We start from the raw sequence: 12,055 nt of genomic DNA, 5'->3' as shown, positions 1-12,055 counted from the left end.
TTGGTGGTTTACAAACCTTGAGCTAGACACAGAGTGCTAATTGGTGTATTTACAAACCTTGAGCTAAACATCAAGGTTCTCCAAGTCCCCACCAGATTAGCCAGATACAGAGTGCTGACTGATGCATTCACAAACCTTGAAGTAGACACAGAGTGCTGATTGGTGTGTTTACAAACCTTGAGCTAGACACAGAGCACTGATTGGTGCATTTACAAACCTTGAACTAGACACAGGGTGCTGATTGGTGCATTTACAAACCTTGAGCTAGACACAGAGTGCTGATTGGTGTGTTTATAAACCTTGAGCTAGACATAGAGTGCTGATTGGTGTATTTACAATCTCTTAGCTAGACATAAAGGTTCTCCAAGTCGCCACTAGACTCAGGATCCCAGCTGGCTTCACCTAGTGGATCCTGCACGGGGGCCACAGGCGGAGCTGCCCACCAGTCCTGCGCCATGCACCCACACTCCTCAGCCCTTGGGCAGTCGATGGGATCGGGCGCTGCGGACCAGGGAGCGGCGCTCGTCGGGGAGGCTCGGGCCACACAGGAGCCCACGGCAGTGGGGGGAGGCTCGGGCATGGCAGGCTGCAGGTCCCGAGCCCTGCCCCGTGAGGAGGAAGCTGAGGCCCGGCGAGAATTCGAGCACAGCACCTGCGGGCCAGCACTACTGGGGGACCCACACACCCTCCACAGCTGCTGGCCCAGGTGCTAAACCCCTCCCTGCCCGGGGCCGGTCGCACTGGCCAGCTGCTCCGAGTGCAGGGCCCACTGAGCCCACGCCCACCCAGAACTCGCGCTGGCCCGTGGACACCACAGGCAGCCCCGGTTCCCGCCCCCGCCTCTCTACACCTCCCCACAAGCAGAGGGAGCTGGCTCTGGCCTCAGCCAGCCCAGAGAGGGGCTCCCACAGTGCAGCAGCAGGCTGAAGGGCCAGAGTGGGCACCGAGGCTGAGGAAGCGCCGAGAGCAAGCGAGGGCTGCGAGGGCTGCCAGCACACTGTCACCTCTCACAGTGGTACTCACTGCTTGGCGATAGTCCCATCTGGGTCACCAAGATGTGTCCGGAGTTGGTTGCTTCCAGTGGGTTCTTGGTCTCACTGACTTCAAGAATGAAGCCACGGACCTTCGTAGTGAGTGTTACAGCTCTTAAAGGTGGCACGGACCCAAAGAGTGAGCAGCAGCAAGATTTATCATGAAGAGTGAAAGAACAAAGCTTCCACGGCGTGGAAGGGGACCCAAGCGGATTGCCGCTGCTGGCTGGGGTGGCCAGCTTTTATTCCCTTATTTGTCCCCATCCATGTCCTGCTGATTGGTCCATTTTACAGAGCACTGATTGGTCCATTTTACAGGGTGCTGATTGGTCCATTTTACAAACCTCTAGCTAGCCACAGAAAAGTTCTTCAAGTCCCCACCCAACCCAGAAGTCCAGCTGGCTTCACCTCTCAGTCCCAGCTACTCAGGAGGCTGAGATGGGAGGACTGCTTGAACCTAGGCGTTCGAGGTTTCAGTGAACTATGATTCTACCACTGCACTCTAGCCTAGGCAACAGAGCAAGACCCTGTCTAAAAAAAAAGAAAAGAAGAGTGGGCAAGGGTCTTAACAGACTTAACTGAAAAAAGCCAGATGCAAAAGACTACATATTGTCTGGTTCTATGTATATGAAATGTCTAGAAAGGGCAACTTTATAGAAATAGAAAGCAAAATAGTGGTATCCTAGGACTGGGATGGAAGCAGACGTTAAATGGCCAGAGGGGAACTTGCTAGGGTGTTAGAAATGTTCTAAAAGCAGATTGTGGTGATGGTTGCAGACTATATATTTTCTAAAATCATTAAATTGTACACTTATATTGGCTGAATTTTATGATAATTTATGGTAAATCAATGGCTTCATTTTATGGTATTTTAATGTAAATTGCCTCTCAAAGTTGTTAAAGAAAAAAAGTTCAACTTCACTATTAAGGAAAATTTTAATATTTTTTGCTACTTGCCAAATCTACTATTACTAATACCCTGAAAAAAGTGTGGAACATGGACACTCATACACAAATGGTAGCTGTAAATGTGGGGACAGACTTTTGGAAGGTAATTTAGCAATGTATATCAAAGCCTCAAAATGCACATATGCCTTGAATCATTTCCAGTGTAATATCCTAATGAGACCAGGCACAGTGGCTCATGCCTGTAATCCCAGCACTTTGGGAGGCCAAAGTGGGTGAATCACCTGAGGTCAGGAGTTCAAGACCAGCTTGATCAACATGGCGAAACCCTGTCTACTAAAAATACAAAAATTAGCCAGCCATGGTGGCAGGCACCTGTAGTCCCAGCTACTCGGGAGGCTGAGGCAGGAGAATCGCATGAACCCAGGAGGCGGAGGTCGCAGTGAGCTGAGATCATGCCAGCCTGGGTGACAAAGCGAGACTCTGTCTAAAATATATATATATATATATATATATATATATATCCTAATGAAATAATTGGACAAATGTAGAAACACACACACAGATGTTCATTTCTTTAATATTTGCGATGGAAAAATTAGAGACAACCTAAACATCCAACAGTAGGAGGTAAATTAGGAAATATTTATCTCTTAGAATACTGTGTAGCTATCTTAAATGGTGATGCAGATGTATATATGTAATGTCAAAAAGATGTTTATAAATATAAGTAAAGAGATTACAATTAAATATGTGTAAATTAAAAATGTTTGTTTATATACATATGCATAGAAAAAGGGCTGGAAGTTTAACAAATGTGAACATTAGTTGTTTCTGAGTGCTAGAACTATTGGATGTTTCTTTTTTATTGTCTTTTATCTGTATTTTCTAAAGTTTTAAAGTAAAATGTATCATGTCTTATGGGGAAAAGGAAATAAAAGTTTTTGCATAAGAAAAAACCTCTGGCTGGGTGCGGTGGCTCATGCCTGTAATCCCAGGACTTTGGGAGGCCGAGGCAGGCAGATCACGAGATCAGGAGTTCGAGACCAGCCTGAACAACATGGTGAAACCCCATCTCTACTAAAAATACAAAAATTAGCCGGGCATGGTGGCACACGCCTGTAATCCCAGTTACTCGGGAGGCTGAGGCAGGAGAATCCCTTCAACCCGGGAGGCGGAGGTTGCAGTGAGCTGAGTTCGTGCCACTGCACTCCAGTCTGGTCGACGGAGCAAGACTCCATCCCCCCCAAAAAAAAAGAAAAAGAAAAAAATCTCATTGATTTATCACTTAAAAGTAATTATAAGGACTTCTTTCGACATTAATAACAAAAATCCTTTGTACCTTCACACAATAGTAGTTGTAGTTTTAGTGTTTATTGATTGATAGAAATAATGACAAAAAGCTACTCTAACTTCTAAACCACTTACACACAGCTTTGAATGTATTATTACAGTGTCTATGGACATTTAAACAATTACACACACATTTCAGGCTTATTTATTTAGTCTATGTTACAAAACCTTTTGAAAAAATTCTGTGGCCTGCAGGTTTGGCAGGACCAAACTAGAGAATAAAGTCTAAATTCTTTAGCTTGGTATCCAGGATCCTTTTTATTGCAATTTTCATACTTGTCCAACTTCATGCCAGTTCACACAGAACTACTTATTATTCCTGGACTGGCCCTGTTCCTTTATTGCATCTACCATTTATATAAGGTATGTCCTGGGCCTTGAATGTTCTTTTTCCTCCACATCTTTCAGGACACTGCTTGAAAATCTCCCTTCTTAAGTACTTAACTATCTTATCCCAGATAGTTTTAATGTTTCCTTTTCTGTGCTCTCCAGAACTTAATGCATCCACTTATCACATTGGATTGTAATTAGTGGCTTATGTATCTTTTTCCAAATAGATTAGGAACTTCATCTTTGTATCCATAGGGTTTAGCAAGTTGCAACAGAAAGAGGTACTTGCAATAAACCTCAGTTGATTGAATGAGTGCACAGAAAAAGACCCAGTACTTGCCCTTAGTGGCTTTCAGGCTGCTTAGGGAGACAGATACATGTCCAATATATGATTAGTCTTGTAATAAAAGATGTCAATGAGCCGGGTGCAGTGGCTCATGCCTGTAATCCCAGCACTTTGGGAGGCCGAGTCAGGCAGATCACTTGAGGTCAGGAGTTTGAGACCAACTTGGCCAACATGGTGAAAAACCCCATCTCTACCAAAAAAAATATATAAAAATTATCCACACATGGTGGCATGCCTGTGATCCTGGCTACTCAGGAGGCTGAAGTGGGATAATCACTTGAACCCAGGAGGCAGAGGTTGCAGTGAGCCAAGATCGCGCTACTGCACTCCAGCCTGGGTGACAGAGTGAGATCCTGTCTCAAAAACAAACAAACAAAACAATAACAACAACAACAACAACAAAACAGAAAAAAAATGTGAATGACTACACAGAAGAGGTAGTGATACATTTTGACTGGGTGATTAAGAATTGCTTCCCAAAGTAGGGTCCATTTGAATTAGACTCATTTTGACAAAAAAGAAGAAAGGACAAAGAAAAGCCTTGACTTTATTCTATAGAAAAATGAGGGTGACTCATTTTGCACCCTCAACCTCAACTCTCTAGCTATCCTCACTGCCCCAGCTTCCCTTCTCATCTCACCGTCAAAAGTGACTGACAATAAATTCCTTGTCAGGATGCTGAATTGGCACTCTAATCTCCTAGCAGAGTTTGCTTACCTGGCCAGATACACATTTGAGTGGTAAGAAAAAGTGCTAGATGAAGCATGCAAGAAGAACTCTTTTCTCATCCTGGGTTGGTCATAGTCTAGCTGATTAGACTGGATACATGATGCATCACGTAGCTTCTTGATTCTCAGTTTCTTCTTTTGCAAAAGAGGGGTAGTTATAATAATGACAATCCTCTCTAAAGTATATCACAGTTGTTCAGAAGAATTTAAAACATACTATATGTAAAAGCACTTTTCTAAGCTGATACACTGTACCAATACTCAGTGTTAGGATTATATCATTACATTTCTGAGAATACTTGTTGGAATTGGCCAGACCACTCCTCCTGAGGGGCTTTCCAGCTTCAGGAAACTTTGACAGTGGTTTGGGGAAAGAAATCCTGTCTCCCTTGTATAATCAGATCAGTAGTGGTTTTCAAGTGAATTTAGGTAACAAAATATCTGGTAATCATAGAAACAAAATATTGATGTATTTAATTACATCACCCAAATTAGGACTATGTATTCCTAATTTTATTGGCAAAACGGTGAGTCTATTACATGTATGTAAATAAAAAGTAATGGAGATACCCTTCTCCCCAGTTCCTGCCACAGTCTGAGCCCAGGTAGTTACCTTAGCTATGTACTCACTATGGTAGTCAGGGTTCTCCAGAGAAACAGAACGAATAGGACAAATGCGTATATAGATGTAGATGTGTGTGTGTGTGTGTGTGTGTGTGTGTGTGTGTATGTGTACAGGGCTACCTCAGAGATATTGCAAGTTCCATTCCAGACCATTGCAATAAAATGAATATCACAATAAAATGAGTCACGGGAATGTTTTGGCTTTCCAGTGCACATAAAAATTTATGCTTATACTATACTGTAGTCGGTTAAGTGTGCAATAGCATTACGTCTGAAAAACAATGAAAACAATGTACATGCCTTAATTTAAAAATACTTTGGGATTTTTTGTTTTTTGTTTTTTTTGAGACGGAGTTTTGCTCTTGTTGCCCGGGCTGGAGTGCAATGGTGCGATCTCGGCTCACCGCAACCTCCGCCTCCCAGGTTCAAGCAATTCTCCCGCCTCAGCCTCCCGAGTAGCTGGGATTACAGGCATGCGCCACCATGCTAGGCTAATTTTTTTTGTATTTTTAGTAGAGATGGGGTTTCACCATGTTGGTCAGGCTGGTCTCGAACTCCTGACCTCAGGTGATGCGCCCACCTCGGCCTCCCAAAGTGCTGGGATTGCAGGCGTAAGCCACCGCGCCTGGCAAAAATACTTTGTTGCTAAATATATATATATATATTAACAGGAGCCTTCAGGGAGTCATCATATTTTTGCTGGTGGAGGGTCTTGCCTTGACCTTGATGGCTGCTAACTAATCAGGGTGGTGGTTGTTTAAAGGCCAAGGTGGCTATGGCAATTTCTTTCCTCCTGCCTTCATTCCTTCCTTCCTTGCTTGCTTCCTTTTCTTTGAGACAGGGTCTTGCTCTGTCACCCAGGCTGGAGTGCAGTGGCACAATCATGGTTCACCATAACCTCATATTCTGGGGCTCAAGCAATCCTCCCATCTTGGGAGTAGCTGAGACTACAGGCATGGGCCCCCATACCTGACTAGCTTTTTTTTTTTGAGATGAAGTCCCGCTCTTATCCCCCAGGCTGGAGTGCAATGGCAGGATCTCTGCTCACTGCAAACTCCGCCTCCTGGGTTCAAGTGATTCTCCTGCCTCACCCTCCTGAGTACCTGGGATTACAGGCACATGCCACCAGGCCCAGCTAATTTTTGTATTTTTAGTAGAGATGGGATTTCAGCGTGTTGGCCAGGCTGGTCTCAAACTCCTGACCTCAGGTGATCTGCCTGCCTCAGCCTCCCAAAGTGCTGGGATTACAGGCATAAGCCACTGTGCCCAGCCACTAACTTCTAAACAATTTTTTGTAGAGACAGGGTCTTGTTGGGTTGCCCAGGCTGGTATCAAGCCCCTGGCCTCAAGCAATCCTTCCACTTCAGCCTCCAAAAGTACTAGGATTACAGGCATGAGTCACCAGACCCAGCTATCGTGACAGTTTCTCTTTTTTTTCTTTCTCTTTTCTTTTTTTTTTTTTTTTTTTTTTGAGACAGAGTTTTGCTCTTGTTGCCCAGGCTGGAGTGCAATGGCGCAATCTCAGCTCACCATAACCTCTGCCTCCCGGGTTCAAGCGATTCTCCTGCCTCAGCCTTCTGAGTAGCTGGGATTACAGGCATGCACCACCATGCCCGGCTAATTTTGTATTTTTAGTAGAGACGGGGTTTCTCCATGTTGGTCAGGCTGGTTTCCAACTCCCGACCTCAGGTGATCTGCCCGCCTCAGCCTCCTAATGTGCTGGGATTACAGGAGTGAGCCACTGCGCCAGGCCAACAGTTTTCTTTTTCTTTCTTTTTTCTTTTTTTTTTTTTTTTTTGAGATGGAGTCTCTCTCTGTTGCCCAGGCTGGAGTGAAGTGGTGTCATCTCGGCTCACTGCAACCTCCGCTGCCTGGGTTCAAGCAATTCTCGTGCTTCAGCCTCCCGAGTTGCTGGGATTACAGGTGCCCACCACCACGCCTGGCTAATTGTTTGTATTTTTTAGTAGAGATGGGGTTTTGCCAAGTTGGCCAGGCTGGTCTTGAACTCCTGACCTCAGGTGATCCACCCACCTCTGCCTCCCAAAGTGCTGGGATTACAGGCTTGAGCCACTGCGCCCGGCTGACAGTTTCTTAAAATAAGACAACAGTGAAGTTTTCTGCATTGATTCTCTTTCACACACAAAAATTCTCTATAACATGCAGTGCTGTTTGATAGCATTTTACCCACAATATAGAACTTCAAAATTGGAGTCAGTCTTCTCACATCCTGCTGCTGCTTTATCAACTAAGTTTATGTAGTATTCTAAACCTTTCTTGTCATTTCAACAATGTCCACACCATATTCACCAGGAATATATTTCATCTTAAGAAACCACTTTCTTTACTCATTCATAAGAAGCAACTCATACGTTCAAGTTTGATCATAAGATTGCAGCAATTCAGTCACATCTTCAGGCTCCACTTCTAATCCTAGTTATCTTGCTATTTTCATCTCATATGCAATTCTTCGTCTACTCTAGTCTTGAATCCCTCCAAGTCATCCATGAGGATTGGAACCAACTTCTTCCAAACTCCTGTTTTGTTGTTGTTGTTACCGGTTTTTGTTTGTTTTTGTTCTTTGTGAGATAGGGTCTCACTCTGTTGCCTAGGCCGGAGTGCAGTGGTGAGATCTCAGCTCACTGCAGCCTCAGCATCCCAGGCTCAAGATCCTCCCACCTCAGCCTTTCAGGTGCACACCACCATGCCCGGCTAATTTTTAAATTATTTTTTGTAGAGATGGGTTTTCGCCATGTTGCCCAGGCTGGTCAAGAACTCCTGAGCTGAAGTGATCTGCCTGCCTTGGCCTCCCAAAGTACTGGGATTACAGGCATGTGCCACCACCACACCTGGCACCTATTTTGCTGTTTTGACCTTCTCCTCCATGAATCACAAATATTCTTTTTTTTTTTTTTTTTTTTTTTTGAGACGGAGTTTTACTCTTGTTGCCCAGGCTGGAGTGCAATGGCGCGATCTTGGCTCACCACAACCTCTGCCCCCTGGGTTCAAGTGATTCTCCTGCCTCAGCCTCCCAAGTAGCTGGGATTACAGGCATGTGCCACCACGCCTGGCTAATTTTGTATTTTTAGTAGAGACAGCGTTTCTTCATGTTGGTCAGGCTGGTCTCAAACTCCCGACCTCAGGTGATCCGCCTGCCTCGGCCTCCCAAAGTGCTGGGGTTACGGGCGTGAGCCACTGCTCCCGGCCCACAAATATTCTTAAAGGCATCTAGAATGGTGAATTCTTTCCAGAAAATTTTAAGTTGACTTTGCCCAAAGGCATCTAGAATGGTGGATTCTTTCCAGATTTTAAGTTGACTTTGCCCAGATCCATCAGAAGAATAACTGTCTACAGCAGCTATCAACTTAAGAAATGTATTTCTTAAATAATAAGACTTAGCCTGGTGCGGTGGCTCACGCCTGTAACCCCAGCACTTTGAGGGGCCAAGGCAGGCAGATCACCTGAGGTCAGGAGTTCGAGATCAGCCTGACCAACATGGAGAAACCCCGTCTCTACTAAAAATACAAAATTAGCCAGGCGTGGTGGTGCATGCCTGTAATTCCAGCTACTCGGTAGGCTGAGGCAGGAGAATCGCTTGAACCCAGGAGACGGAGGTTGCGGTGAGCCGAGATCACACCATTGCACTCCAGCCTGGGCAACAAGAGCGAAACTTGGTCTCAAAAAAACAATAATGATAATAATAATAATAAGACTTTAAATGTGAAATTATTCCTTGATCCATGGGGTACAGAATCAGAATGGATGTTGTATTAGAAGACATGAAAACATTAATCTCCTCTTACATCTTTTTTTTGGCGGGGGGATGTGGTGCTTGAATGGATCCTGGAGTCGGCCATTGCTCAAGCACACCACCAAACAGTGCCCTTGCAAAGCAGGCCTCATCCCTGTCCACCGGGCCCAGCACCTCCCGGGTCTACCTCATCTCAGACAACCCTGCTACTCTGAATCCTGATTTGAAATCTTGGTGAAGGTATGTTTTGTTGTTTTTCTAAGTCTTTTAAAAAGAATTATCTTGGTTTCTTTGCTCCTGATGACTTTTTGCCTAATAGCTGGAGCATGAATAATGCTCCATGACTAATCAGATTTAGCCTGCTGCAGAAACTGTTTTAGTTTATCAACTTAGGGGGCATTCTGTGGGAACAAAGTTAAGATTTCAAGAGGTTCCAATGGTTCGCAACCCTGCCCGACTTCGCTTAGGCTTAATACTGCACTGAGAGCAGTCAAACCACCTTATGACAGCTCTCCCCAGCTGCATGAAAGTCTCCTGTTGTCACTCACTCATATCTCCTCTCCTACTCTAAGCATTTTGGTTACCATTTTATTCCTAACAACTACACCTTGTCAGACACAGAAGGGCACTCAGGAAATATTTGTTGATGAAATGAATAAAATTTCTGATAAGAATAAAGAGTTCATTGTAAAAAAAAAATCAAACTGCAAACAAAATAGATGAAATTATACATGAATTTCTCTCAACTCTCTATGTATAATGTTAAATCAAGTTTAGCCTAAAGCTGCCCTATTACATATTTTAAATTTGGCCTAAAGGTTTCTCTGTACATCATGAAGTATAACCTAAATGGAAGGGTAAACAGACTATAGTCTACTCTTGTGCCAGTCACTGAGTTTTGGCCAATCAAATGTGGCCAACTGTTCAAACCATGCTAAAAGAAGGCAAACAGCTGAGCTGTAACCAATCCAGAGCTGTTTCTGTACCTCACTTCCGTTTTCTGTACTTCGTTTTCGTTTTTCTGTCCAGAAATCTTCTTCCACCACGTGGCTGCGCTGGAGTCTCTGAGCCTACTCTGGCTCAGGATGCTGCCCAATTCACAGATCATTCATCACTCAATTAAACTCTTTTGAATTTAATTCAGCTGAAGTTTTTCTCCTAATGGTAAAAACTCTCCTAAGTTTAAGAGCCATAGTGGAAATCACATGGAAAAAGCTGTAGATTTGATTACATAAAACTGCTAAACTCTGTAAATCAAAAAAAATCACAGACTAAATTAAAAGAGATCGAACTGGGAAAATATTTGCTACATGTATGATAGATTTACATGGAAATAAGTGGGGGCACCTAAGATATTCCAGGAAAAAATAAGAAAAGAACATGAAACAGACAATTCACAAAAGAGAAAGTATGAATGGCTAACAGCTAGAAAATAACTAAAAACTATTATTAACAAAAATTTAAAAATCAATTATAGTACTCATTTCTGACTGGGGCACAGTGAGCTGGGCACACTACTTCTTTCTAGATCTTCAGAGCCAAGTTTTTAAAACTCAAAGCTAGACATTGACTCAGTTTCTTTGTCTGCATTTTAGGTGTTTAGACCCCACCTGAGGAGCTGTACATAACAAAAGCCCTCAATGCCACTAAACCAATGGGAGAGGGGTAAGAGTACAAAGAATTTAAAACCACAATAGACTCATATTATTCTATTACCAGTAGATAGAAATCAAATACGTTTTATCAATTTGAAGAACGTTTTCCACGTCATCCAGTCACCCAGGCCACAAGATCCTCAGTGACGACAGATAATTATGAAATTAGTTGTATTATTGATACTGCTTTTTCCTGGGTATTGGCTTCCCAGAGTTACTGAGAGAATGATGGAATAAAGCATCGACTTTGTCATATAGAGCCATGTATTACAAGTAAAACTTGCTGTTTCAAAATCTTTTCCTTCTCTTTCAAAAAAACTATCATTTTCTTCTCTCTGAGCAGTTTTTGATAGAGTTCATCATTAGCAGGGGCCTCAAAACAGAACATTGCAAATCATGTCAGTTTCAGAATGATTTTTTTTTTTTGGCTTGCTGATGGCAAACTGCAATGTGAATTTCTGCAAGAGCACAGTGCCATGTCATAAATCATTAGTCTGGCTTCAGAGTCTCTTGCTATTTTCCCTACATGGAGGACAGATGCTTTTTTGTTGAATCAGGACCATAATTTGCATCTGGTAGGACAATGGATCATATTCTCTTCTGTCCACACACAGAGCCGCATTGACAACAGCAAGAGTTGCTCAGAGATAGAGGCAAAGTTTGGCTCAGCCAGTGCTAAATTCAGCTTGATTTTTAAAAGTAAATGACCCAGTTAAAATCCAGTGAAGAGCAAAGCACATAGTGGATTTGGAAGTTTCCTTTGAAATTTCCAGCTCAGTGTATGAAGTAACTCCAGACTCTAATGAGCCTCTCCGACTGCAAGCAACTAAGACCCAAAATGATTGTCTGTATCAGATCCAGGGCTTTCTGTGACAGCAGACAATTTATTGTTATGCTTTACACCCTGGTTTTCCATCTGTGATTGATGTGTGCTCTTCCGCTTTCAAAAGACTTTTCTAATAGTCACGTTTCTTCCAACTGACCCTGCAAGATGAGTCAAAATTTCCATACTTAGGAATCCCAGCTACTTAGGAAGCTGAGGCAGAAGAATCTCTGTAACCTGAAAGGCGGAGGTTGCAGTGAGCTGCGATCACACCACTGCACACCAGCCTGGGCGACAGAGCGAGACTCCGTCTCAAAAATAAATAAATAAATAAATAAGGAGATGGTTATACAATTGCATTCTTCTCAACTTAAAAGCCTCTCTCTGAGCTGGATGCGGCCATTCACGCCTGTAATCCCAGCACTTTGGGAGGCTGAGGCGGGTGGATTGCCTGAGGTCAGGAGTTCGAGACCAGCCTGCCCAACATAGTGAAACCCCATCTCTACTAGAA

At 43.5% G+C, this 12,055-nt stretch overlaps 1 long non-coding RNA gene across 1 annotated transcript, besides 1 other annotated feature; it reads left to right on the top strand.

The window, feature by feature from the left end:
• Nucleotides 9,136-10,978, top strand: LOC124900980 (uncharacterized). Its single transcript, XR_007058776.1, has 2 exons — nt 9,136-9,306; nt 10,662-10,978. It is a non-coding gene; the product is annotated as an uncharacterized LOC124900980 (long non-coding RNA).
• Nucleotides 9,171-10,370: an enhancer, noted in NCBI's record as "MED14-independent group 3 enhancer chr5:54899656-54900855 (GRCh37/hg19 assembly coordinates)". NCBI's record gives its function as "activates an origin of replication core promoter dependent on BRD2, BRD4, P300/CBP and CDK7 cofactors, and independent of MED14, by STARR-seq in HCT116 cells {active_cell/tissue: HCT116}" and the evidence as "EXISTENCE:reporter gene assay evidence [ECO:0000049][PMID:35650434]".
• Nucleotides 10,979-12,055: the final 1,077 nt, after the last annotated feature.

This window comes from Homo sapiens, chromosome 5, assembly GCF_000001405.40.
Source record: "Homo sapiens chromosome 5, GRCh38.p14 Primary Assembly".
Lineage (NCBI taxonomy): Eukaryota > Metazoa > Chordata > Mammalia > Primates > Hominidae > Homo > Homo sapiens.
The sequence above is the reverse complement of the archived record's forward strand: the minus strand, read 5'-3'. Positions and strand labels throughout refer to the sequence as shown.